This window comes from Homo sapiens, chromosome 11 (genome assembly GCF_000001405.40).
Source record: "Homo sapiens chromosome 11, GRCh38.p14 Primary Assembly".
NCBI classification, from domain to species: Eukaryota; Metazoa; Chordata; class Mammalia; order Primates; family Hominidae; genus Homo; species Homo sapiens.
Genome location: NC_000011.10, coordinates 6,318,590 through 6,346,579, shown reverse-complemented (window position 1 = coordinate 6,346,579; position 27,990 = coordinate 6,318,590). Strand labels below are relative to the sequence as shown.

The following is a 27,990-nucleotide window of genomic DNA, read 5'->3' as shown; positions in this document are numbered from 1 at the left end:
TGTCTCTGTCAAGGTGCATGTGGGTGTCCTTAATATTCAAAAGGGTAGGCCTTAGCCAGATGCCACTGTGGGCGGGGTTGGGGGATGGCTCAGTAAAGACACAACTATAGCCAAAGTGAGAGCCTTGGGTGTAATGTGCTGTAGATTATTCTTGAACTACACAGGTATTAGAGCAGGACAAGCTGCAGACTAAACCTCTCAGACACCGAGTTAAGAAGGAAGGGCTTTATTCGGCTGGGAGCTTTAGCAAGACTCACATCTCCAACAACCAAGCTCCCCGAGTGAGCAATTCCTGTCCCTTTTAAGGGCCCACAACTCTAAGGGGGTCCACGTGAGAGGGTCGTGATCGATTGAGCAAGCAGGGGTACATGACTGGGGGCTGCATACACCGGTAATTAGAATGGAACAGAACAGGACAGGGATCTTCACAGTGCTTTTCTTATGCAAATAACCGATTAGGTCAGGGGTCGATCTTTAACTACCAGGCCCAGGGTGTGGCGCCGGGCTGTCTGCTTGTGGATTTCATTTCTGCCTTTTAGTTTTTACTTCTTCTTTCTTTGGAGGCAGAAATTGGGCATAAGACAATATGAGGGGTGGTCTCCTCCCTTAGTATCAGAGTTAGGATATGCACATGAGCCATGTGAGGGCCATGAAGATGCTGGTGAGGTGCAGTGCCGTAGTGAGCAGGGACAGCTGAAGCAAAGCTTTAATCAAGGAGAAGAGAGAGAAGAGAAACAGAGAAAGGAGAGTCCTATATCTGTAAAAGACACCCTGAATCCTTTAGATGTGGGTGGGGTGCAGAACAATTATTTATTAGTTGTGGTATTCACCAGTGTAAGTAGGCTGCTCCAAATCTGATCCACTAAGATGTTTTGAAATGACTTTATCCAAGAAAGGGAACTATGGAGAGACTATCCTGGAATTCTTAAGGCTTATCTCAGGCTCAAGTGCTAGTCTCATATCTTGAGAAGCCTAAGATACATGAATAAAAAAGGAAAAGGTGATGCAACTAGATGTAATTGCTCTTAGAGTATCAGAAAAATATGAGCTGATTGCGTTATTATTAGCTCAGAAACAGTCATTAGGTCCTAAATAAATCTAACAAGATAAAAAAGCATAGATTTCAGTGATGGCTGAAATTACTCCTTCAAAAGGGATCTAGGTATAGAAAACTATTAAGGTGTAGCATCTCACAATCAGGGTGGAGAGAGAGAGAGACAGAAAGAGAGAAGGAGAGGGAAGGAGGGACGGAGAGCATGAGGGAGATTATAGCATGAGCAAATAGGGACTTATTCCTTAAAGATGGAGACAGATACACCAGCTAGTTACAGAAAAACTTAATGGGGTTGAGAGGAAGACCAGAAAGATTACTGTAAAGTACTCAAAGCATCACTAGGAGTTTCCAGATAACAGCTTATTGTATGTCGTATCTCTGCTATGTGGAAGTTTAAGTACTCCCTGTGTCCTGAGAAAATATGTCTGAAATATTTATAAATCAGGGACCTAAGCATAGCAGAGATAGGATGTATTAATGTGGAACCAGGAAGAAAAATGCTGCATTGGGTCTATTGGATGCTGGTCTGTTGAAAGAACACCTTCTGTGTGGGATTATCCAACTCTGGATGGAAACTTTTGAAGAGTGAGTGCTTTGGCATAACCAGAACCCATGATTTTATGTCTTAATTATTAGCCACAAAATAAAATCTAGAGAAATAGGGTAGTAAAACAAGTGTCCAGTAGCAGAAAGAGCTGCTACTCAAGTCCTAGACTATTCAACAGTCAAGAAAAGACAGTGTCTTAAGAAAGCTCATGGCTGAATTATTGACTGGTATTTATTAGGTCTGAGGCAGATGACCAACCATCCTGGTTTTTCTGGTTTTAGCATTGAAAATCCTGTACTCAAGGTAAACCAGGATAGTTGGTCACCCTATTAATAGAGGCCCGAGTTTCCAAAGTGTCAACAGCATTTTCAGTTCAGGAATCTGGTGATGGTCATTCTCTAGTGGGAACAAATGCAGAGAGAGAGAAACTTCCCTAGGAAGCAGGTTTCTTGGGTTGAAGACATTATTTAACAGGATGCAGTGGTAGCAGCCATATGGGTAACAGGACTGAAAAATGCCGCTTGCTGTCATCTCAATGCATCAGAGCGCTATAGTCTTGGAAGCTGCAACACAACAGGCATGCACTTGGGGTACACTGGGATGCCAGAGCTTGGGGCTCAATCAGTGTATTTTTTTTTTTTTTTTGGGAGATGGAGTCTTGCTCTGTCGCCCAGGCTGGAGTGCAGTGGCTCGATCTCGGCTCACTGCAAGCTCTGCCTCCCGGGTTCTCGCCATTCTCCTGCCTCAGCCTCCCGAGTAGCTGGGACTACAGGTGCCCACCACCACACCCGGATAATTTTTTGTATTTTTAGTAGAGATGGGGTTTCACCATGTTAGCCAGGATGTTCTCGATCTCCTGACCTCGTGATCCACCCGTCTGGCCTCCCGAAGTGCTGGGATTACAGGTGTGAGCCACCGCGCCTGGCCTCAATCAGTGTATTGAACTGTATAGGAAAATTTGAGCAGGCTGGATGGAAATTAAAAAATCCCTTCAATAAGGCCTAATGACTGAGGTGGCATCATTGCAAATTTCTACACTTTGCAAAAAGAAGAGAATGTTTCTGATATCTCTCTCTCAGAGCGTTGGGGGAAGATATAACTGCACGATTAGATTTACTCCAAAAAGTTATTAAATGCAGAGTACTTAAATAGGAGAGATAATAGTATAAAGATTCACGTACCCATTACCCACTTTAACAATAATAAACTCATGGTCAATATTGATTCCTCTATATAAATCAAGGGGGAAGCTATAATTTTTGTATACCATCTGTGAGTGGGTGGGTTAGTCTCCCTAATTCTGGTGTTCAGAATCAAGGGACCCATTTGCTAAATGATAAAGCCACATTTGCCAATGTGAATTTTATCAGTAATACTGTGGTTTTGATCTCTTATTACCTTGTTTTTTTTTTTTTTTTTGAGACAGTCTTGCTCTGTTACCCAAGCTGGAGTGCAGTGGATGATCTCGGCTCACTGCAACCTCCACCTCCCGGGTTCAAGCGATTCTCCTCCCTCAGTCTCCTGAATAGCTGGGATCACAGGTGCCTGCCACCACGCCTGGCTAATTTTTGTATTTTTAGTAAAGATGGGGTTTTGCTATGTTGGCCAGGCTGGTCTCGAACTCCTGACCTCAGGCGATCTGCCTGCCTCGGCCTCCCAAAGTGCTGGGATTACAGGTGTGAGTCACCATGCCCGGCCTCTTATTACCTTATTCTTTTACTTTATTTCCCAGTTCGTTGAGAACTAGAACAAGAAATTGGGATATCAGTGCCCTGAAATCCTCCAACAACCACTGAGAATAAATAGGCTAGCTACTTTGATTAGATAAACTTCTGTACCTACCTGGACCACAGATCCTGTAAGAGTGGGCCATAACCGACTTTCATCTCATTTCATTACCCCTGGGCAACAGCTGATTAGATCTGACCCAAGGCTACCAGTTAGATGCTCCCTCTCTTTATTGCTCAAGGAATTAAACTATGAGGCCAGGCATGGTGGCTCACACCTGTAATCCCAGTACTTTGGTAGGCCGAGGCAGGTGGATCACCTGAGGTCAGGAGTTCGAGTCCAGCCTGGCCAACATGGTGAAACCCCGTCTCTACTAAAAATTCAAAAATTAGCTGGGCGTGGTGGTGGGTGCCTGTAATCCCCGCTACTCAGGAGGCTGAGGCAAGAGAATCGCTTGAACCCAGGAGGTGGAGGTTGCAGTCAGCCAAGATCACACCATTACACTCCAGCCTGGGTGACAAGAGTGACACTCCATCTCAAAAAAAAAAAAAAAAAAAAAAAGTTAAATACAGCACAATGACTGCAATCATTTGATGGATTTGATGGTAGGCACATGAGCTGAATTGGGATGGCTATTATCACAACATGTATAAGTAGCCTCAGAAAGCTCAGCTTCAAGGAAAGCAGAATGGAGCAGGCACATAAAGAGAAGGGGACCGGAGGGATCAGGAGGCTTGAAAATCGGAGGGAGAAGTCTGGCTGTCTAAGCTTGATCTAGTTTCCCAGGCTTTTCTTGTCCTGGGATTTTGTGAGATGGTCATTTGATCCTAAGTTTATGAGATGAGGAAATTATACTCACCAGATTTGCTCAAGAGAACACTGCAGATTTTTGGAGAACTTTGATGACAAGCTCACTTTGGGTAGAAGCTAAGAAGTCAAGGGGTCTGAGTACGGGCAAAACATCAGCAGGAGAAAGGAAAGGCATTTGCTGATTACTCTGGAAAGGGAGGGAAGAAAGAGTAAGAGTGTGGTGTGTAGAGTCTGTGACATTTGCAGGGACAGAAAGTTGGTAATCACTTTCCTCTACATCATGAGGGTCACAGCCAACATTCCTGTAACAAACGACAGGTTAACAATTGAACAGCATAACATATTTATTTAATCATACTTTTATATGACATGGGAGACTTCAGAATGCAGACCCAAAGATACAGGGAAAACTATATTTATTTGTTTATTTATTTATTTTGGAGACGGTCTCACTCTGTTGCCCAGGCTACAGTGTAGAGGCACAATCATAGCTCACTATAGCCTCAAACTCCTGGTCTCAAGTGATCTTCTTGTGTCAGCTCCTGAGTAGCTGGGACTACTGGTGTATACCACCATGCCCGACTAATAAAGCTATCCATTTTTTATGCTTGGGTTCAATAAAGAATAGACAGCTGTGTGGAAATGTGATTGAACAAAAAGGGTATGACCTAATGGGAACAGACTGCAACTGTTTAGATGATTCTTGGCCTCTTTGTACAACAATCCTTCCTCTCAGGTATGGGGCAGGACCCTTTCTGGAATGGGGGTCTTACAAACTCCTATTAAACAAGATAGGCCAGAAAATTTCTTTCTTTTTAAAAATAATTCCCTTTTTTCTCACTTTATTTCTTCTTTTGTCTTTAGAGACAGGATCTCACTCCGTCACTTAGGCTGGAGTGTAGTGGCATGATCATGCCTCACTGCAGCCTTGACCTCCCAGTCTCAGGCCATCCTCCCTGCCTCAGTCTCCCAAGTAGCTGGAACTACAGGTTCATGCCAGTACACCCAACTAATTTTTTACATTTTTTGTAGAGATGAGGTCTGGCTATGTTGCCTAGGCTGGTCTTGAACTCCTGGGCTCAAGCGATCCTCCTGCCTTGGCCTCCCAAAGTATTAGGATTACAGGCGTGAGCCACCATGCCCAGCCGGGGATTTCTTTATGTGCAGCTCTTACACAGCAAGTCAGGGGAAGGTTAGAATAATACTTTTAGGTTTTATGGCTGGCTTTGGGGGAGAGGGGTTCTGGTTTCTATAACCCACCTTGGGGAAGGATTCTAGGTTTTTTTGTTTTGTTTTATTTTTTGAGATGGAGTCTTGCTCTGTCTCCCAGGCTGGAGTGCAGTGGCGCGATCTCAGCTCACTACAACCTCCGCCTCCCGGGTTCAAGGGATTCTCCTGCCTCAGCCTCCTGAGTAGCTGGGATTACAGATGCCTGCCACACCTGGTTGAATTTTGTATTTTTAGTAGAGACAGGGTTTTAGCATGTTGGTCAGGCTTGTCTTGAACTCCTGACCTCAGGTGCTCCACCTACCTCGGCCTCCCAAAGTGCTGGGATTATAAGTGTGAGCCACCCCGCCTGGCTATTTTTTGTTGTTGTTGTTGTTTGTTTTTTTTTGTTTTTTGGTTTTTGGTTTTTTTTGAGACAGAGTCTTACTCTGTCACCCAGGCTGGAGTGCAATGGCATGATCTCGGCTCACTGCAACTTCTGCCTCCTGGGTTCAAGTGATTCTCCTGCCTCAGCTGCCCGAGTAGCTGGGATTACAGGCATGCGCCACCACACCTGGCTAATTTTTGTATTTTTAGTAGAGATGGGGTTTCAACATGTTGGCCAGGATGGTCTTGAACTCCTGACCTCAGGTGATCTGCCCACCTCAGCCTCCCAAAGTGCTGGGATCACAGGCGTCAGCCACCGCGCCGGGCTGAGATTATAGTTTTTATGGCTTTCCTTGGGGGAAAATGAGGGGCGAGAGATGGGGGCAGGAGAAGGCCAGAGAGAAACTTTGCTTTTGAGGCCTTCACTTGGGGTATCATTTTCTGAGCCCCAACACATTCATATTACATATCCCATGACCAATCCTCAAAACCTTCAGAGTACATTTCTTTACGAAAATTGATAAAGGAGCTGTGCTTGACACCAGATTCATGAAGAACTGAATGTGGAAGCAAGAAAGGATGTGGAAATGCTGAGAAGGTGTGTGGTGTGAGTATAGCAGAATGTGTGGAACTTTGGACTTGAAGCACAGTGGCTCATACCTGCAATCCCAGCACTTTGGGAAGCTGAGGCAGGAGGATGGCTTAAGCCCAGGAGTTTGAGACCAGCCTGGGCAACATAGCGAGAGCCTGTCTCTATATAAATATATATACATACATATATATAGACTTATATAAATTATATATATTTGTACATATATGTGGGTTAGAACTAATATTAACCAAATGATAAATGATCACTTTGAATGTCCAGCCTTCCCCAATTCCTCTTTTGGAGGGCAGCATGTTCTAATTTATAGGGAAATGCAAGAGCATCTTATTGCCCCTTGAGATTTGTCATCTCTGCAGTGCTATGTCCTCACCATGGATGTTTTCTCCCTGCTCTCAGTGTGGCCTGTCACCATCGGGAGCTCCATGTTATTAAAACCACCTTTGCAAAAGTCATAACTTAGGAAATTAGGTCAGTGAAAGAGATCGGACCTAAGTGACCCCATCTTTCTTTTAACCTGTAAAGTGTCTTTGTTCATTCCTGGGTGTAGGCTGAACTAGCCTTGGGAAGGAATTTAGTGTATAGTTTAAACTCTGAAACAAAATGGATAACGGTCCTTCCCAAAAAACCCCTTCATGCCAGGGGGCCAGTCTGCCTTTGTAGAACTAACAAATTAGCTAACCTAAGATCAGTGCCTGAGACGTTTTGTAGACCCCGCATGCCGAAGCAGCAGATGACACCACCCAGACTGATAATCTGGCTCAGCCAGTTCTGTGATCCCACCCAGAAGTCAGCAAGAAGAACTCACTTTGACCCCCTGTGATTTTATCTTCAACCTGATCAATTAGCACTCCCCACTTTTGGAGCCCATACCTGCCAAATTGTCCTTAAAAACTGATCCCCTAATGCCTGCGGAGACTGATATGAATAATAATAAAACTCTGGTCTCCCGCACAGCTGGCTCCGTGTGAATTACTCTTTCTCCACTGCAATTCCCCTGTCTTGATAAATCAGCTGTGTCTAGGCAGCGGGCACAGTGAACACATTGGGTGGTTACATTATCACCCGCTTGATGTCTCTCTCCAGTAAATCAGAGGTGATGGTTGGGGCAAGTCTTTCTTTCCCTTTTCCTCTATAGTTCTCTCTTTCCAGTCTTTTCAAAATTACCAACAGCCTAAGTGGTTCTATGCAGGTTTCTTCACTAAAGAGGCAATTTCTGAAGAGTGATTGTACATCAAAGAGGAAAGAATAAAACACTCCTTAGAGTTTCTCTTTACTTCTCAAAGCGATGTTACCTGCAGGTCCAGATCCTTCACAAGCTCTCTGGCCTTTAGATGCACATCTTTTCCTTCTCCATGGGCCTCCTTTTAAGATTTTATTTATTAGAAACTCCATCAATTTCCTTGGGAAAACCCCACACCTATCCACAAGGAGGGATCTCACTTCTTGGCTCTTTCTCTCTCTCCAAATTTACCGTTCTTACCTTACCAAAGTGTCTCGGTCTGAGTGTGCCAATTAGAGGTAGGGTCCCCAGGACTTTAACCAGATAAAAATGGTGACTATTTTTATCCAAGTCTTGCAAAATTGTGTGTATAGAAGTGGGTTGGGGGTGGGGAAGGAAGAAGAGACTCCAAGATTGCAGTTTGTTGTGGATTTAGATCTTCCTGGCTGAATTTCCTTTTCAATATTTCTACATGTGTTAGGAGGAACAATGTCAGTTCATTTGATTAATAGAATTGTTATATTAGCTCATGCACTGCTCCCAGGAACAAACATTAATTTTTAAAGAGTACAATCTAGACTCATATTGAAAAAGGATATATTTCCTCAATTAGAAGGTACCTTACCTTTTCCCCAGAGTTAGTGGGCCCCATTATTGTGCAGAAAAGAGGTCTGGTTTCTTTCCTGCTTTGCCTGGGAAGCTATTGAAATAATAAATAAGCTGTGTTATCCTTTAATGGATCCTCCCTTTTGTTAATTCAGGAAGGGCTCCAGACTCAACAAATTGTTTCAACAGTCTACTTTAGGGGCTGGGGTGGCTGCCAATTCTCTTACAATAAACCCTCCTTCACTTAAGTTACCTGAGATAATTTCTGTTCTTTGCAACCAACTGACCTATGTCTAGAAGAGAAATGGATTCTGGGAAGTAGGTTTGCAAGCAATAGAGCCTCAAAAGAATGTGGCTACTGTCCTCAGTGTTTTGGCATGGTCCAGAGTGGTAAAGATTCTCTCATCCCAGGAAGGCCTAGCTAGCTTGAGTAGACTTCTTCTCATTGCAAAAAAGTGGCACCTGACCAAGGTGCATTATGATAGGGGCCTGGAGGAATAGAATTAGAAAGTGAGAGAGCTGGTGGCATGACTTCTTATACCGCCATGCCTGGTGGCAAAGGCTATTTAAAACATTGACATCATTCTAGGCTAATTCATGAAGGGTTCAGACTTTTTGGGTATGAATGAAGGTTTGAGTCAGTTCACTTGGTAAAGAAACTGTAACCAGTGTAGATACTGGTTAAAAGCATAAACAGGCTGGGTGTGGTGGTTCATGCCTGTAATCCCAGCACTTTGGGAGGCCAAGAAGGGTGGATCACCTGAAGTCAGGAGTTCGAGACCAGCCTGGCCAACATGGTGAAACCCTGTCTCTACTAAAAATACAAAAATTACCCGGGCATGGTGGCACGTGCCTGTAATCCCAGCTACTTGGGAGGCTGAGGTAGGAGAATCACTTGAACCTGGGAGGCGGAGGTTGTAGTGAGCCCAGATTGTGCCACTGCGCTCCAGCCTGGGAGACAGACTGAGACTCCATCTCAGAGAAAAAAAAAAAAAGCATAAACAACATGAAATGGATTAAGGAGAAAGACAGACAAGGTGAGGTGGCTCATGCCTGTAGTCCCAGAACTTTGGGAGGCAGAAGCAGGAAGGTCACTTGAGCCCAGGGCAACATGGAGAGGCCACATCTCTATAAAAAAAATTTTAAAATTAGTTGGGCATAGTGGCACATGCTTGTGGTTCTAGTTACTTGGGAGGTTGAGGCAGGAGGATCACTTGAACCCAGGTGGTTCAGGCTGCAGTGAGGCATGGTGGCACCACTGCACTCCTGTCTGGACTACAGAGCAAGCAAGACCCTATCACACATAAAATAAAATAAAATCTGGACAAAATAAAGACCAGCTTTACTTTTTAGACTCAAACATCAATTTCTTATCCAATTGACAGTGGATTTTTGACTTTAAATTTAGCTTATTTTTTTCTGTCTATCTATCTATCTATCTATCTATCTATCTATCTATCTATCTATCTCATTGCAAGTATGATTCATTTCTTACTGGTGCTTTATCTTTCTTAGGAAAACAAACATTATTTTTTCTTAAATCAGTAAATTTGTATCGGGCCCTTTTATGTTCTAGGCTTTTCTGTGCTGGACACTTGTTATTAAAACTGAGAACTAAAATATCTGTGGGAGCCAGTTGTAGTTAGGCACAAAGTTACATTTACTTTTCATGCAAATTTGCATGCTCCGCACTGAACATACTCTTCTTTCTCATTATCCTCACATCTCTTTTCCAGGGTGAGGCAGGCTGCAGTGAACATCCTGAGCATTTTCACTATATAGACAGAAAGGAATCTTATTACTTTGTTAGACACAATTTTCATTATACTTTCTCAAAAACGATAAAATCTGTAACAACATTGTTCCCATAATCAAGGTAATCTACATTAAAAGGTATATACACCACGGAATACTATGCAGCCCTAAAAAAGAATAAGATGATGTCCTTTGCAGGGACATGGATGGAGCTGGAGGCCATTATCCTTTCGTATCCTAAGGATACAAAAACCAAATACTGCATGTTCTAACTAATAAGTGGGAGCTAAATGATAAGAACATATGAACACATAGAGGGGAACAGCAGACATTGGGGCCTTTCAGAGAGTGGAAGGTTGGAGGAGGGAGGAGATCAGGAAAAATAACTAATGGGTACTAGGCTTAATACCTGGGTAATGAAATAATCTGTACAACAAACCCCCCAGACACAAATTTACCTTTGTAACAAACCTGCACTTGTATCCCTGAACTTAAAATAAAAGTTAAAAAAAAAGTATATATTTTTGAAAGTCCCGATCCAGGTCCTAAAGCATGGGGCTGTTTCGGAAACTAGTCTTCTATATCCTTTTGTATCTACTTTAAATGGTCCAAATGCTGATGGAAGAGATCACTTCTCCAATAATTGCCCTGTAATTTTATTTATATTGATCTTTTCTTGTCAAGACATGGCTTTTTGGCTAAATGAAAGATTTCCTTATTTTTTTCTTCTCATCTCTCAGAGAAGCCTGTGGTGTTTACTTGGTGACTTGGAAGTTTGGGAAGGAGTTTGAGGACCACACTCACCCTGTGGGATTGTACTGAGGAGAGGGATGCATCCAATATGGTAGCCACTTGCCACATATGTCTGTTAAGCACTTGAAATGTGGATAATGTAGCTGAGGATTAAGTTTTACATTTTATTTAATTCTAATTCATTAAAATTTAAAACTAAACAGCCACATGTGGCCAGTGGCTATCATATTGGACAGTGCAGGGCTGGAGAAACCCTTCAACAAATTTAGGAAAATGGCTTTTGGGTCACACTGCTTGTTTCAGGTGGCTGGATTGTGTTTTTCAATGTGATAATATAGTATCTTGCACTTTGTTGTGGATTTAGAGCTTCCTGGCTGAATTTCCTTTTCAATATTCCTACATGTGTTAGCAGGAATTATGTCAGTTCATTTGATTAATAGACTTGTTATATTAGCTCATGCATTACTCCCAGGAACAAACATTAATTTTTAGAGAGTACAATCTAAAAGCATTCTTGGGCTGGGTACGGTGGCTCACCCCTGTAATCCCAGCACTTTGGGAGGCCAAAGTAGGAGGATTGCTTGAGCCCAGGAGTTAAAGACCAGACTGAGCAACATAGTAAGACCCCATCTCTACAAAAAACTGAAAAATTAGCCAGGTGTGGTGGCATGTGCCTGTAGTCCTGGCTACTTGGGAGACTGAGGTGGGAGGACCACTTGAGCCTGGGAGATCGAGGCTGCAGTGAGCTGTGACTGCGCCACTGCACTCCAGCTGAGCAACAGAGCAAGACCCTGTCTCAAAACAAAACCAACCGACCGACCAACCAACCAACCAACCAAACAAAGCATGTATCTGCATGCTTGTCTGAGGGACTGTGGATGAGCGGGTGGGTAGAGAGCTTAACCCTCTTGAACTTACACTCTCCTCTTGAGCATCAGTGGTGGGAGTTCCAGAAAGGTACTGCAGCTGGGCTGAGGCTAGATGAAGACACCATCTTAGTAAAAGGCTGTGGGGCATCCTGACCAGATGGGGACAGTTTGGGGAAATATTTTGAGCCACCACTCAAAGAATGGCAGCAGTCCCCCGCTTTGCAGGTCTCTCTCCTCTTTGAGGTCCCATTTTTCTGCTACATAGTCATAAGACCTATTTATGCTCTGGCAGCCTTTTGCAAAGTTCTCTCTTACCCACCATCTCTTTGGGGAGGACATGAGGTAGGCCTGAAGATCAGAGAGGATAAATGAAGTGGCTAAGGTTACCCAACAAGTAAGTGGTGAGTGGCAGAAACAGGATTCACAGCCAGTTCTCTGTGTGTGTTCAGGACTTGTTGCACCTTATCGAATCCATCCTCGTTCCTCTTTGCTGCCAGTCATGCATGATCATTGAAAACACCCAGCATTCAGAAAACATTAAAAAATTATTTTTAAAAATTTCATTTCACTCTTGCATGGTCATAATGCTTACTCTAGACCAGGATCAAAAATAACAGAGTTCAATAAAGAATATAGGTGGGAAGAAAAAACATATTGATAATTCATTGAGGGACATCAGTGTGATCAGTGTCACTATTAACTTTTTATCAATTTTATAAAAGCAGCAAGATTTAAATTAAGTGAATTATCCAGAGTATATACAACCAAGGAGGGTGCAGCCAGGATGTGAACATAGGGGTGCTGATAAAAGCCCTGGCGTCCTGCAGAACCCTGGTGGGGGGCAGAGAGCTTACCCCTCTGCTATTCCGCCCCTTCCCCAAGGTTGTTGTGGGCATCAAAACAGACCAAGTACCTACAAGTCAGCTCCTACTGGACCCTCAAATTCACAGAGCACCTCTTTTCAGCTCACCCTGTGTTTCATTTATCTCCTTAATTCTCCTTTTGTTTTTCTACAGTGTCTGCCTAGGTCATGGGTTGGATTGACAGGTAAAATATAGGATGCCCTAATAAAATTAAATTTAACATAAATAACGAATAACATTTCTAGTATATTGCATGGGACGTACTAATACTAGAAAAGGTATTCGTAGCTTATCTTACACTTAAATTTAACTTGACGTCCTATATTTTGATTTGCTAAATCTGGTACCTCTAGCCACTTGCAAATCCGCTGTCATCAGCATTAGTGCGGTCAAGGTCCCAGGCTTCCTCTAGTTCAGAAGCTGAGTAGCATCTAGTCATTCAGTCCAGAGATAGGACATAATACCTGTTTAGCTTCAACTTCGTGCAAAATACTCTGTTGGCTCTCTGGAGGGATGAAACTGTAACTTGTTTGGCCCCTCCTGTCCTCAGTTTCTTCCTATGGGAAATGGAGATGAAGTTTAATTTGGACCAGGCTCAAACCCTGATGCTGCCACTTAGAGTTATGGCCTTTGTGCATATTCCTCTTCCTCTCTGATCCTCCTGATTCCTTCACTGGGTAGCAAGTGAGAGAAATAAATTGAAAGAGTATGTGAAGCTATATGCAAATAGTTATGTGGCAGTGAATGTTTCTTTTTCAACAATTCCAATTTCACTGGATTCAGATTGCTTCTCCAGCCGCTGTGATATTTTTGGTAACATGGTTTATTTGCCTAAGGAGCAGATGCCAGGGTTGGATCCCAGCCCTGCTATTTATCAGCAGTGTGATCTTGGGAAGTAATCTAATCTCTTTGTTTCCCCATCTCCTCACTGTGAAATGGGATAGTAATATTGCATATCTCAGAGGGTCATTGTGAGGATTAATTTAATTCGTACACATGAAAGGCTTACTACTGTCTAACAAAAATCAATTCTGTTAGAAATCACTAGAGTAGCTACCCTCCAGGGCCAGGGTGGGAAGGAGGTAGAAGGCAGTAGTTTTTGTTTTTCTTGTTTTTTTCTTTTTTTTTAAATAGAGTTCAGGAATTAGCAAATATTTCTGGGAGAATTTATTTATTTATTGACAGGGTCCCGCTTTGTCACCCAGGCTAGAGTGCAGTGGCGTGATCTTGGCTCACTCTTGGCTGTTCTCCTGGACAGGTAGAGCAGCCTCTACCTGTCCTGGAGAACTTTAGACTTTCAAAGGCAATAGAATTGGTAGGGTCCAAACTCAGATTTCTAAGGAACAAAGGGGGACCTAGGTAATACCTGGGTTATAAGTTGAAAAAACAGAAAATTGCACTAAAATTATATATACATAGTCAATTTTCATTATCTGCTGTAGTTATAATCTATAAAATTGCTGAGAACACTGAATTAGTGACCACTGAACCATTTCTTCTGCGGAAAATGCAGAGTTAGGTCCCTACAATCCCATAGTCATAACATTTTCATAAACCAATCAATACATAACATAGTTTTATATGTGTTTCTGTTCAAAAACACCTTATTTAATATATATTGTTGGTTCTTTAACATTGAACTCCCAGCTGACAGCATTATAGCTTGTGTCTGCACAAAGCCTACCTAACCCCTGTATTTTCTCTGTTAAGGCACGTCACAGCCTGTGCTCAGGAGCAACAGACTACTTCAACACTACCCTTGGGGGCCACAGTAAGCAGTGAAATCACCAATAAAAACCACAAAAATTGAAAACACGGCACTACATAGATCGTGAAAAAAATACGTATTAATATTTACAGTACCAGTGCTGAAACAAGAAGGGAGAGAGTTGTCTTACTGGATGTCATTTGGGAATATTCCCTGTTGAGCAACTGATATTTTTGGCCCCTTTGTGTATGTCTGCAAATGACCACAAAAACTCCTGGGTGTTGATTTTGGGGTTACAAATACATTTTTGTAAGTAGGCGAATTTGCAAATGCTGAATCCATGAATAATGAGGATTGACTGCATATATAAAAGGGTAGAATCAGCAAATAGGTGGCACAGAGGAGGGTGGAAGGATCTAGAGGTCCAAAAAGCTGGGCTGGATGGTGAGGGGAGCAACTTCAGGGTCACCTTTTATCTCCTCCCCCATCTTCAAGAACTGATTAGCAACTGGTCCAAGCTCTGTGATGTGAGTCAGTAACTCTAGACCAGAGAGCATTTTCTCAGTGCCCAGTTGCCTGAGGCAGCAATGTGCTCAGTTTGATGGAGGACTATTTCTTTTTTCTAAAGAAATTTAGAGCCTTGGGACATTAATTCCACCTTTTCTTTTCTTTCTTTCTTTTTATTTTTTTGAGATGGCGTCTTGCTCTGTCGCCCAGGCTGGAGTGCAATGGCGTGATCTCTGCTCACTGCAACCTCCGTCTCCTGGATTCAAGCATTTCTCCCACCTCAGCCTCCCAAGTAGCTGGGATTACAGGCACCTGCCATCATGCCTGGCTAATTTTTGTATTTTTGTAGAGATAGGGTTTCACCATGTTGACCAGGTTGGTCTTGAACTCCTGACCTTAGGTGATCCGCCTGCCTCAGCCTCCCGAAGTGCTGGGAATATAGGTGTGAGCCACTGCACCCGGCCTCCACCTTTTATTTCTATGTGGGATTGAGCTCTTCATCTGTCACTCTACTGTCTACACAGGAGTCAATTTTTACCAAAATAAAAAAAATACAAACATCAATCAAATAAGGGAACCTTAGGCCCAGTTTCCTGCAGAGATTAACTCTTGATTTTCTCTTCTCATCCCATATCCCACATAATTCAATTCTAATTAGTTTAAATTTAAATTTAAAAACTGATACTTGATTCAGTTATTGGAAACTTTTAAGTATATTTGGAATTACTTGGGTATGTAACTATAAATTTTATGAAGTGTTAAAGCAAACTAAATATGGCCTGAGAAGGACTCTGTACTTCCATATTTGAGTCTTGGTAGATGAACTGTAACCTAGCTTAATAGTCAGATAAAACTGAAAACCTAACTTAGTGGTGTGCACCTGTAACAATAGCGGAGTGCTGGCCAATCACAGGGGCCATACTTCAACCGCTGATAGACTACTGAATGTTCAAACTGCATTCAAATAAGGCAAATGCCAAGTGTAACCAATTTCACTCGTTCTGTACTTCACTTCTGATTCCTGTACGTCACTTTACCTTTTTGGTCTATAAATTTGTTCAGACCACGAGGCACCCCTGGAGTCTCTGTGAATCTGCTGTGATTCTGGCGCCTGCCCAATTCGCGAATCATTCATTCTCAATTAAACTCCTTTAAACTTAATTTGGCTGAAGTTTTTCTTTTATCAAAGTCTAAACATAGAGCCATCATTTCTAATGAACATTTAATATGCAAATTGAGATGTTCTATAAATATAAAATATATACCAGATTTCAGAGACCTAAAAGAATGTAAAATATCTAATTAATACCTAACAAATATGATTACATGTTAAAATGGCAATATTTTGGATATATTGAGTTAAACTAAATATCTTTTAAAAGTTAATTTCATTAAAAAAATTTTAAAATATGGCTACTAGAAAATTTTAAATTACATACATTATATTTATAGTGAATAGTACTGAACTAGGATCTTATTTGCCCCTGCTCACCTTGTTTATGATTATGGCACCAGGCAGTAGAAACACAGGTGTCTACTCATGAGTCATGGACCTGACCTGCTGAGACTCCACAGGCCTTCTCCAACGCTCTTAGCCGTTGAATATGACCAGTCTTTTTCTTGGATCCCATTCGTTCTTCTAACCTTGCAAAGATCCAAGTTTGCTTTTCTTGGTAGGTCCTCCAGGCTTCACCAGGTAGTACTCTAATCTGATTTCCTGAGGAAATTTCAAATCCCAACAAGTTCAAGAGTAGTTTCCATTTTTCCTTTGAGGATTCACTTTTCAACCTTTGAAAGTACAGTACAATCCGAACATTACATTTTTCTGTCTCCATAAATTTTCCCATTATAGATGGAGCTGTGTAAGTATATGGTTGCCTCAATATCTTTTACAAGTTTTAGTGTGGAAGTATACATGAGTAAATTTCTTTCTTTCTTTTCTTTTTCTTCTCTTTTCTTTTCTGTCTCTCTCTCCTTCCTCCCCTTGCTCACCTCCCTCCCTCTCTTCCTTCCTTCCTTCTCTTTCCTTTCTTAGTTCTCTAAATCATCTTTAGCCCACATCAATTAGATGGTTTCAGCTACTTACAGTACTCCTCCTCCTCCATTAGCTTCCCAACCAAATCAATCTCTGACAGATCTACTTGGTTGGAGACCTGACTCCAAGGCTAGTTCTTCCCTTCTGGTCTCTTTTGCCAGGTCCAGGCACTGCAGCAGTCTTCTGCATTCTTTATGGGCAGGAGTGCCTTGCTTACTGCTCTTTAGCCCATTCATCTGACTTAAATGCCAGTTGGTGACAAAAAGAGTATCTTAAACCCTAATCCTACCTGTGACAATCAATATTTCCTTCATCCAAATCCACACAATAATAAGGAGTCATGATTAATCTGCAGTTCCTATAGACAGGCAAGTTGAATAGCAGGCAGTACACTGGTTTTGCACTGTATACTATCTCTGGGGGACTCAATGGATTATTGTGATATGATCACACTTAACTGGATGGGGGTCTCAGTGCCAAAAAGTTGAGGTACCATTCTTAAGAACAAGTCTACTAATCTCAGGAATCATTCTCACCTTTGGATTAAGTGAGTAAGCTTTTAGACCTATTAAAACATTTTAACTCTTTCAAACTCTTCTCTACTGCCTTCCCTGGCTGGCTTAGTAAATGGATTGTTGTACATATGATCTGGTACTGAGCAGTTTTCTGTCCTGCTTCTAAAACCCACTGAATCCAAATAAGATGAGAAATATTCGGTAGGGTAATTTGTGTTGTGCAATGTTGCTAAACCATGTCAACTGCCCTAAAGTGGCATGGGGTGGAAGAGCAATGCTCTTCTTTACCCAGGGTAGACCCACTTCTTTCCCTTCCTTGGTTGAATTGATTAGCAACTATCTATTCTTTAGACACTAAACAAATGATAGTTATTTTTCAAACAAAATTCATAACTAAATACCATTTAACTAATGTAGTGACTAAATCTTATAAAAATCAAATTATTTCCCAGTTGTGGTAGATACTGGATGACTAAAAATGAATTCTTTTTCCTTGGGCTCAGCCCCAGATACAAAGGGGAATGTCTATGCTAAGATAAAAGTTGTTGCAGGGCTCTAGCTATATACAATAGTCTATAAGTCACCACCCATCTGGAATTACTGACCATGGAATCATGGCCAAGCCCCTCTTCAGTGGTTCATTCTATCTCTCAATCCAGGTAAGAGGTAAGGCACATCATCCTCCAATGATCTGCCCTGTCCTTTATCATATGGGTGGTAAAATATATTCCTGGATTAGAGGCTTTAGCTCAAGGTGGAGGGCTGCAGTCCTTTGATGGTGGCTTTTCAGTGATTTGCCTAAGAATGCAAACTCAAACCCAGGCAAGGCTTCCTTGCTGGCAGAGCCCACTGAATTCCTCAGATTACAGAAGGAAACTCAATAGAGTCTATTTAGTAATTCCAGACTTTTTTTTTTTTTTTTTTTTTTTTGCCTCTTGGAATGTCCCAGGGCATTTTTGCAGAAGGAGCCCAAACTCCTACATCCTGACAATTGGCTCCAGCAGTAATTACATACTTCACAATGTGAGCTTGGGTCAACCTAGTTCTTATCTCAGGTGTCTGGTGCTCTGATGCCCCCAGTATGCCTTGGCCAAAACAAACATCCATGACATATTGATGGATTTACTTGCTTTTAAATTGTTTTTTCTATCCCTAATCTTTTTGGTAGTGTCTACATATGTACTAGTTTTCTAGGTCTGCCATAACAAGTTACCACAAATTAAGTGGTTTAAAACAACAGAAGTGTATTCTGTCAAAGTCCAAGAGGGCAGAAGTACAAAATCAGTATGGTAGAGCCACTCACTCTTGGAAGGCTCTGAGGGAGAATCCACTCTATGCCTCTCTCTTAGCTTCTGATCCTTGGTATTCCTTGGCTTGTGGCTGCCCTCCAATCTCTTCCATCATTTTCACAGCACAGTCTTTTCTGTGTCTTTGTGGCTTCTCCTCTACTTATAAGTACACCAGGCATTTGATTTAGAATGATCTCATCTCAAGATCCTTAACTTAATTATATCTGCAAAGATGTAGTTATATCTGCAAAGGTCATATTCACAGGTACTAGGAGTTAGAGCTTGGATATATCTTTTGGGGGGACACTATTTGCTATTGCTTAAATGTGTCCACCAAATTACATGTGTTAGAAACTTAATCTCCAAATTCATATGTTGATTGCAAGTGGGGCCTTTGGGAGGTACTTAGGATTAGATAAGGTCAACAGGGTGGGGTCCCCAAAATAGGACGGGTGGCTTTATAAGAAGAAGAGGCCTGAGCTGACATGCACACTCCTGCCCTCTCGCCATATGATGCCTTCGCCATGTTATGATGCATCAAAAAGGCTCTCACCAGATGCCAGCACCAAGCTGTCAGACTTCCCAGCCTCCAGAACCATCAGCTAAATAAACTTCTGTCTTTATAAATTACCCAGCCCGTGGTATTCAGTTATAGCAACAGAAAATGGACTAAGACACTATTCAACATACTAAAATATGAGATACAAAAATAGTCATTTGAGTGAATAATGTGCGTGATTCTTGCTATAAAAGGCATCCCTAAGCCTACTGGTCATAATATACCATTCCGAGATCTTCCATCCATTTGGATATTTTGATTTCTGGAGTCAGTACAAATTCACTTCCTGATGCCTCAAACTTATAGCTATTGTAACTGCCAGGGGCACAGAGCTCCCTCATTGTGTGGAATGGTTTTACCTCTTCCGTAGACAGGATGTCTATGACAAAGGGTGGAAGGTAGTGCCTGTCTACTGAGGCACATTGCCTGTTAAATGAGTGGTCTGTCTGTGCCTCACATTGTTACTTTTGATTTAAAGGTTAGTGCCTGGAGGATGCATCAGTTTTTCTGGGCAGATGAAAGTGAGGGTCCTGGTCAGGGATATTTCTTTGGTAATGAGCTCACATAGATGTCTCTCATCCTTTCTTAGATTTTGATTTTTCTATTTAATAATCAAAGACTGTTAAGCTCTATTGCTATGTAAGACAAAGGGTTCCAATTCACAAAACCACTCAGCAACCTCTGTCGAGTCTCTCCTCTAGTACTATTATTCCCCTCCAGTAATCAGCCAGCAATTGTTTTTCAAAAGCAGTACAATTCTCAGCTGCTAAAAGCATTCCTTAGTCAAAAATCCTAAATACTTATGCTGTATTTTCCCCTGTAGGATCTGCCCTCCTCCCTCCCTGACAAATCATCTTGGTGGAAGAGGTAGAAATCACAGAGACTTCAGGGTCTCATTTTTCTTTCTGACTTGTAGGACCCAAAGGATAGAATTGACCATACTGTGGCTTGTAACTTGCCAGGGTTAGTCACTGAGGCTTCTCTCAATCCTACTGAAAGTATGTAGCCTTTTGGAGGACTCAAGATATAGAGTGTGTGAAAATTCCAAGGTGAAGCATTTGCTGACTCTAACACCTCCCTCTGTTCTTTGTTGCAGTAGGAGGTGTTACATGTTTCACTACCTGTCCTGAGTTTAAGCACTACTATTCTAGGTAATCCCTGTCTGCTGGATTTCTGGTGGATGGTCTCTGAACCCAGTGGGACAGACTCATCCTCTTGGGTATGATGTGAAGAATGGCAGTGCCTTTGTCACTTTTGTTTTAGGGGATCTTGGCAACTTCATATAGTGGGGCACCTGGCAACTGAAAGAAGAAGGAAAACAAAGATGCAGAATGATACCATCTAAGGCACTATGATCTGATCTGTCTTTTTCAGAGATTTCCTTAAAGCGAAAGGAGCATCCAGCTGTTCTTGAATAGGTAGAGACAGAGGGCCACCCTTAAGCAGATCTTTGTTAGGCAGATATATTTCAGACAGCCCCAGGCCTGATGAAAGGTGTAGTGGATTTGTTTCTCCTTAGTACAGCCAACTCTTCCTCATAGTAGGCTGTGCTCTGGGGAGGGGATGGGCCAGTATATAAATGGAACCCTTGACAAACAGGATGGGTAATACCTTTTAGTTTTTTAAAGCAGTTGTTAGCTCAACTACCATAGTATTCCACTCATTTTTGCAAGACTCATTACATCTGGGCAACTATTGGTTTGTCTGTGTTCTACTGTGAGTCTTCAGGTTTTATTAACTTTTCCTACAGAGACTCTAATACTTTCACATAATTGGGGAAGCCATTTGCAGGAGCATCCTGGGTAATGGGATACTGTAATACTGATATTGATTAATCAAAGTTGTTATTAGTTTTCCAGAGCTACCAAAACAAAAAAAGTCACAAACTAGGTGGCTTAAAACAACAGAACTTTGCTGGGTGCAGTGGCTTACACCTGTAATCCTAGCACTTTGGGAGGCCAAGGCAGGTGGATCACTGGAGGTCAGGAGTTTGAGACCAGCCTGGCCAACATGGTGAAACCCTGTCTTGTCTTTACTACAAATACAAAAATTAGCCAAGTGTGATGGCGGGCACCTGTAGTCCCAGCTCATCAGGAGGCTGAGGCAGGAGAATCACTCAAACCCGGGAGGCAGACGTTGCAGTGAGCTGAGATCATGCCATTGCACTGCAGCCTGGGCGACAAGAGCAAGACTCTGTCTCAAAAACACCAACACCAATGCCAGAAACCCCATAAATTTATTCTGTCATGGTTGTGGAGGGCAGAAGCCTGAAATCAAGGTGTTGGCAGGGGCATGTTCCTTCTGAAGCTCCTAGGGAAGGATCCTCCCTTGCCTGTTTCGGTTTCTGGGGCATTCCTTGGTTTGTGGCAGCTAACTCCAATCTCTGCCTCTGTTGTCACATGGTGTTCTCCCTGTGTATCTCTTCCCTCTCTTATAAGGACACCAGTCATATTGGATTAAGGGCCTACTCTACTTCATTATGGCCTCATCTTAATTATATTTGCAAGATTATATTTCCAAGTAAGGTCATATTCATAGGCACCAGGGGTTAGGACTTAAATATATCTTTTTGGGGACACAAGCAACCTGCGACAATAAGTTTCCACTTTTCATGTCCATACCATGGGGTATGAGAGAGTAGATGCCAGCCACACCCCTAGTTTAGAGAATTTTTTTTTTTTTTTGAGACGGAATTTCACCCCTGTTGCCCAGGCTGGAGGGCAACGGCACAATCTCAGCTCACCACAACCTCTGCCTCCTGGGTTCAAGTAATTCTCCCATCTCAGCCTCCCGAGTAGCTGGGATTGCAGGCATGTGCCACCATCTCTGGCTAATTTTGTATTTTTAGTAGAGACGGGGTTTCTCCATGTTGGTCAGGCTGGTCTCAAACTCCCGACCTCAGGTGATCCGCCCACCCTGGCCTCCCAAAGTGCTGGGATGACAGGTGTGAGCCACCGCATCTGGCTAAGAATAGAAATTTTTAAGACCACTGCCTTAGAGGTGTTATAAAGTTTTTTAATTGGGAAGCCATCAGGCTGAGATGGCTCCACCACATTTGATTCCTACATAAGCAAACCAAAGCCCAATGTAAAAAGTAAAAGAAAACTAGGGACCTTACCAATCAGAAACCACCAACTAACCTCTAACTAGGGGAATTTCCATATTAATGAATCAAATATATTTTCTTTGTCTTACTTCCATGTTCAGCCTATAAAAGCTCACTGCCCACACTGCTGCAGCTGAGCTCTCTGAACCTCTTTTGGCCTTGAGTGCAGCCTAATTTATGAATTGTTCTTAGCTCAAATAAACCCTTTAAAATTTTAAGGTTCGTAAGTTTATTTTTGAACAGAGGGCATCATTCTGCATCTTTCTTTGTTTTCTTCTTTTCTTACCCTTTTTGGAAACTGCAATACAGTTCTTCCTTGGATACTTTATAATCAAGGTCACTCTACTACAATTTCTGTCAATCTCTGCATTATTGACTCAGGCATTCTTCTAGCTGGCCCCAAGTTATTTTTACTTACCTCATGGCTTCCATTTTCCACTATCAGCCAGTTCATATGGCTTTTAAACTTGAGGCTTTGGGGAGACTGGTAGAACCATCATTGGCTTTATTGTTAAGTTTAAGGTCCTCCTTGTTCCAGATATCCAGAGAGGGAGTTAGTGCTACAGGAGATGGAAAAAAATTAGGCAGATAGTGAGGGCAAAAGAGTCCTCAGCAGAATTTCCCTTTTAACAAAAATCAGCCCCCAAATCATTTCTTTTCTAACAAAGAACAGCCTGAAAAATCAAGCTGCAAACATAGATAAGCAAGCTGGAAGCCTGCAGGGGTGAATGCCAGCAGCTGTGTCAATAGAAAAGGGCTACCTGGGGGCCAGGTATGTTCAACATGGAGGCTCCATCTTCCCTTTTCTTTGTCACCACAGTTACAGTAAAGAAACAGGCAACATGGCACTGGCCAGGTAGAGAACCCATCTGCAAAATAAAAGATTAGGGTGGGGGTGGCCATCTTTTTGTGCCTATACAAATGGCATACCTAGCCCTAACCAGTTTTTTGAGCTGTATGCAAATGACACACCTGGTCCAACCAATCTTTTGTGCCCTATGTAAATGACACACTGCCTCCTTAAGGTCATCTATAAAATCCCTTGCATTCCACGGTGGAACCAGCAACCCATTTCTCTGGGACCCCTCTCTGCTGCAGAGAGCTCTTCTTTTTCTTTTGCCTATTCAACTTCTGCTCTGAACCTCTTTGTGTGTCCATGTCCTAGTTTTCCATAGCTGTGACACAACCAATCTCGGGTATTTACTCCAGACAACAATGCCACTTCATTACCAGGTTTTAAAAAAATATCTGTCTATGCTGGGCGCGGTGGCTCACGCCTGTAATCCCAGCACTTTGGGAGGCCAAGGTGGGCGGATCATGGGGTCAGGAGTTCAAGACCAGCCTGACCAACATGGTGAAATCCTGCCTCTACTAAAATTACAAAAATTAGCTGGGCGTGGTCACGCGTGCCTGTAATCCCAGCTACTCAGGAGGCTGAGGCAGGGGAATTGCTTGAACCTGGGAGGCGGAGGTTGCAGTGAGCCAAGATCGCGCGTTTGCACTCCAGCCTGGGTGACAGAGCGAGACTTGGTCTCAGGAAAAAAAAAAAAAATCTATCCAAATCTATCCAAGTATCTATGCAAGTACTTCTTACTTCCAAATGCACTGAATTTCCTTAGCCCCACTCATCAAAGCTGGTGATTCTTTCATAGGCTTCCTGTAATATTAATATCCATTCCCAGTAGTACCCAGATTTTTGTACAGATATCCACTTTTCCTCCCATACCACCCTAATACTCCTGGGGAAGCTGAATCTACTCTACTTCAGAATTGATCTAACTTGTCAAAAGCCAATTATTAGATTTCTTGTCAGTGATTGTTTAGGGAACATAGGCCTAAACCCATCAATGCATGTCATTTTTGTAGCCATAGAATTTGGATTTGGAAAAGCCATGTAACCCAGTGGAAGGCAAGTGTAAAAATTCTGGGAGGCTTCTGGGAAATAAATGTCCTAAATTTTAAGATGGTCCCCTTTTTTTTTTAAGATCTTGTGCAGAGTTGTGAGGCCTGGAATGAAGCTGACACCTGTGCGTATGTGGGCACATACACATGGGTAGGGGGTGTGTGGGGGACATGGGGGAGTGTGAGAGGTGCGGGATGGGGCTCATAGTTGAGCAGTGGAGAGAACTGTAGAAAACCAGATTTGGAGCTGTGAATGACTCACACTTAATCACCACTCTACCAATCCTCTTTTTCAATTATGTTTGAATTGAGTTTCCTGTTACTAAGTACTGTTTGAATTGAGTTTTTGTTCCCTCAGTCTGAAAGCATTTTAACTGGTACATCCCTGATGGATCTCTCTGGGTAAATGTAGTTTCACTGGAAGAGATGGTGATTCCCACCAGATTCCCAAGAGAGCTTATTTTCTCTTGTATTAAGCAGCAGGGGTCAGGCTTATGGCCTTGTATTTGTAGAAATCAGCCATCAGCTTAGCATCACCAGATTTCTGGCATTAGCTGCCCACGTCTGTGGCACTTCAGGCCCATGTAACTATTTCCAGAGTGACACAAGTTTCTTCCACAGTTGTCAACAAGTGGCCCTCACAGGTTCAGTGAGAAGAGGAAGAGGGAGAGAGATCATCAGGATTAATGGATTACTTGCATTTGTGAGACGGTTTGCCAAGTATTGCTACAAACAAGGCACGGGATTTTCTTTTTTCTTTTCTTTTTTTTTTGAGATGGAGTCTTGCTCTGTCCTCCAGGCTGTAGTGCAGTGGAGCAATCTTGGTTTACTGCATTCTCTGCCTCCCAGGTTCAAACGATTCTTCTGCCTCAGCCCTCCCGAGTAGCTGGGATTACAGGCGTGTGTCACAACGCCCTGCTAATTTTTGTATTTTTAGTAGAGACGGGGTTTTGCCATGTTGCCCAGGCTGGTCTGGAACTCCCTGCCTCACGTGATCCTCCCCCCTCGGCCTCCCAAAGTGGTGGGATTACAAGCATGAGCCACCGCGCCCGGCTAAGGCATGGGATGTTTCGAACTGCTGACATTAGAAATTCACAATCCACATCATTAACTGGATCCTCCATGCCCACTCTCTCCCTCTCTGCAGCAGCAATTTCAAATCTTTACTCTCCGCAGTTCCACAGAACACAAGAAACAAACAAACAAGCAAAAAAAGTCAGGCAGGAGCCCAAGTAACCTCTATCAAAGCAAAGACCAGTGCCTAGTCTAACGCTTTTAAGGATTTTAAAAGAGGTGAAGGTGTCCTGCTTATCCTCCAAGCTTGGGTGCTGGGGCCGGGGCGGCTGAGATTTACCAGTGAAACCCAAAGAAAGAGAGGGCAGAAAACTAGAGAAAAGAAACCAGATAATGCTACCCAAGAGGACGAAATAAAGAAGCAGGAAACGAAGCCTGAGGCTAAACCCTGGAGATGACTATTAGGAAAACACCAGAGGATGCCCCGCCCGCCAGCCCACAATGAGCAGCCTGTCCAAGTCACAAAGCGGGGCCTCGGGCCTTGACAGTTCGCGATCTGTAAGCAGAATGTTCCAGGGCCTCCCTGTCGCCTGCATCCAGCCTGGGGGCAATCTTCACTGGTGTGGGAGGCCGAAAGTGGACGGCGACGGAGGCCCCTCTGGTTATCTCTTTGCCGTGCCAACACAGTCTCTGCGCCCACTAAGATGCATGAAATAAAAATTTCCGTGACTCGCCCTTTGCAGTGGAGAACTGAAACAGGCACACCAGGGAATTGGAGCGGAGGAGGGTAACTCAAACTCAGAGTGAGAGGGTTTGCAGGGGGCCGATTTGGGGCCAACAGGCTTCCCAGCAGGCCCCCGGCGCGGGACAGCGGAAGGCGAAACGCTTTCAAGAGACCCCGCTGCCAACATCCCCACGCCCTCGCGCCCTCCCGCCGCCCCAGAAGGCCAACTCCGCCTGCCTGAGTCACAGCTGGAGCTGGGGAGGAGCCAGGGAAAGGAGGCCCCTGACCGTAGTGCGGCCAGCAGTTGCAGGCAGACGGAGCAGAGCGGTCAGGGATCATGAGGGAGAGTGCGTTGGAGCGGGGGCCTGTGCCCGAGGCGCCGGCGGGGGGTCCCGTGCACGCCGTGACGGTGGTGACCCTGCTGGAGAAGCTGGCCTCCATGCTGGAGACTCTGCGGGAGCGGCAGGGAGGCCTGGCTCGAAGGCAGGGAGGCCTGGCAGGGTCCGTGCGCCGCATCCAGAGCGGCCTGGGCGCTCTGAGTCGCAGCCACGACACCACCAGCAACACCTTGGCGCAGCTGCTGGCCAAGGCGGAGCGCGTGAGCTCGCACGCCAACGCCGCCCAAGAGCGCGCGGTGCGCCGCGCAGCCCAGGTGCAGCGGCTGGAGGCCAACCACGGGCTGCTGGTGGCGCGCGGGAAGCTCCACGTTCTGCTCTTCAAGGTCAGTGACCTCAAACGGTCCCCAATCCGAGGCCTTTGCCGGCCTGTGGGCCACCAGCTGGGGGCTCCCCGCTTCCATCCACCTACCACACCCACATTCCTGACCCCTCCCGCCGTCTGTTGCTGTGGAACAGACTCACAGAGCCGCACCCACTTCCCAAGACCCAGCCCCATCCCTCCCTCTCACGCCTGAGCCCCGCCTGGCCAATCCAAGCCCGCCCAGCTCTAGCTCAGGCCACGTCCGCAGAATTTGGTCTGAGTCCCAGCCAATCCCTAAAATAACGGTGGTTGAAAGGGCATTCCGTGACTGCGGGCACTATCCTCTTCTCGCCCCTCACCAGGCCTCACCTACTTTACAGCGTTTTGCAGTTCGCACGCAGCTTTCCCTCCCCTTACCTTCCCACGCCTGCCTTTCCCCCCAGACTCTGGCTGCGGAGGTAAAAGGTTTCCCTTGTGTAATTAAGGAGTGAGTTTCGGGCTGCTGGGGGTAAGGAGCTGCCAGGATCAGTGCTGTGTCCGTCACATGCAGGAGGAGGGTGAAGTCCCAGCCAGCGCTTTCCAGAAGGCACCAGAGCCCTTGGGCCCGGCGGACCAGTCCGAGCTGGGCCCAGAGCAGCTGGAGGCCGAAGTTGGAGAGAGCTCGGACGAGGAGCCGGTGGAGTCCAGGGCCCAGCGGCTGCGGCGCACCGGATTGCAGAAGGTACAGAGCCTCCGAAGGGCCCTTTCGGGCCGGAAAGGCCCTGCAGCGCCACCGCCCACCCCGGTCAAGCCGCCTCGCCTTGGGCCTGGCCGGAGCGCTGAAGCCCAGCCGGAAGCCCAGCCTGCGCTGGAGCCCACGCTGGAGCCAGAGCCTCCGCAGGACACCGAGGAAGATCCCGGGAGACCTGGGGCTGCCGAAGAAGCTCTGCTCCAAATGGAGAGTGTAGCCTGAGGGCTGGTGTTGCCTGCCTCCCCTGTGCTTGTGCCTTGTCCCAAAATAAATCCTTTCAGAATGTAGCACTCACGCCCTAATAAGGAGCGAATCCTACATCCACCAAGGCGGGCGCTCTGGCCCTCCCTTCCTTAAGCCCAGTCCTGTGTCCTCTGAAAGAGGTGCAGTCACTCACACCTGCTTGCGCTCACCATCAATAAAAGTAATTTCACCCGAACCAGACTCCGTGAGAAGGGATGGGGAAGCGGTTGGATGTGGGAAGGCAGTTACAAGGAATAAGACAAATGTTGGAACCTGGAATCGTACAATTTCTCCAGTTTCCACGGAGTCCTGGGTTCTAGCCTCCAGTGACACATAGAAATATCCTTCTGACCACTTGCTCTTTAAACACTTTCCTCATGGGAACACACAGTTGCAGTTTTTGTTGTTGTTGTTTTTGTGTGAGTGTGTGTGTGTGTTTTTTTTTTTAGCATCCAGTATAGTCCTTGCTGTAGGTGCTTACTCAGTGTCAACTAATGGTTTTCCTCTTAGTCTTTTCTTTCCTTGGCACCTCCTAAAAGTTGAGTTTTCCAG

At 44.2% G+C, this 27,990-nt stretch overlaps 1 protein-coding gene and 1 long non-coding RNA gene across 12 annotated transcripts, besides 5 other annotated features; one reads left to right on the top strand and one right to left on the bottom strand.

Moving 5' to 3' along the window:
* Nucleotides 1-210: 210 nt before the first annotated feature.
* On the bottom strand, nt 211-27,439 carry LOC101927825 (uncharacterized). 11 transcript variants are annotated; one of them, XR_007062567.1, is made up of 9 exons: nt 26,883-27,439; nt 22,888-22,995; nt 22,545-22,686; nt 16,115-16,339; nt 9,832-12,964; nt 8,187-8,261; nt 4,189-4,326; nt 2,463-2,568; nt 211-2,164 (listed from the first exon to the last, which is right to left on the bottom strand). It is a non-coding gene; the product is annotated as an uncharacterized LOC101927825 (long non-coding RNA). The 11 variants fall into 11 exon arrangements; XR_930992.4 differs by lacking the exon at nt 2,463-2,568 and having other exon boundaries at nt 9,832-9,941; nt 11,932-12,964; XR_007062569.1 differs by lacking the exon at nt 2,463-2,568 and having other exon boundaries at nt 16,115-16,410.
* Nucleotides 25,313-25,402: an enhancer, noted in NCBI's record as "active region_4339". NCBI's record gives its function as "activates an Ori minimal core promoter by ATAC-STARR-seq in GM12878 lymphoblastoid cells {active_cell/tissue: GM12878}" and the evidence as "EXISTENCE:reporter gene assay evidence [ECO:0000049][PMID:35858748]".
* Nucleotides 25,433-25,492: an enhancer, noted in NCBI's record as "active region_4338". NCBI's record gives its function as "activates an Ori minimal core promoter by ATAC-STARR-seq in GM12878 lymphoblastoid cells {active_cell/tissue: GM12878}" and the evidence as "EXISTENCE:reporter gene assay evidence [ECO:0000049][PMID:35858748]".
* Nucleotides 25,503-25,862: an enhancer, noted in NCBI's record as "active region_4337". NCBI's record gives its function as "activates an Ori minimal core promoter by ATAC-STARR-seq in GM12878 lymphoblastoid cells {active_cell/tissue: GM12878}" and the evidence as "EXISTENCE:reporter gene assay evidence [ECO:0000049][PMID:35858748]".
* Nucleotides 26,073-26,122: an enhancer, noted in NCBI's record as "active region_4336". NCBI's record gives its function as "activates an Ori minimal core promoter by ATAC-STARR-seq in GM12878 lymphoblastoid cells {active_cell/tissue: GM12878}" and the evidence as "EXISTENCE:reporter gene assay evidence [ECO:0000049][PMID:35858748]".
* Nucleotides 26,079-27,634, top strand: CAVIN3 (caveolae associated protein 3). The gene is made up of 2 exons (NM_145040.3): nt 26,079-26,487; nt 27,016-27,634. The coding sequence occupies exons 1-2, from the start codon at nt 26,104-26,106 to the stop codon at nt 27,415-27,417; spliced, it is 786 nt and encodes a 261-aa protein (NP_659477.2). The 5' UTR covers nt 26,079-26,103; the 3' UTR covers nt 27,418-27,634.
* Nucleotides 26,666-27,403: an enhancer, noted in NCBI's record as "H3K27ac-H3K4me1 hESC enhancer chr11:6340407-6341144 (GRCh37/hg19 assembly coordinates)". NCBI's record gives its function as "activates a minimal SCP1, AML or CMV promoter by ChIP-STARR-seq in naive H9 embryonic stem cells {active_cell/tissue: H9 hESC(naive)}" and the evidence as "EXISTENCE:reporter gene assay evidence [ECO:0000049][PMID:30033119]".
* Nucleotides 27,635-27,990: the final 356 nt, after the last annotated feature.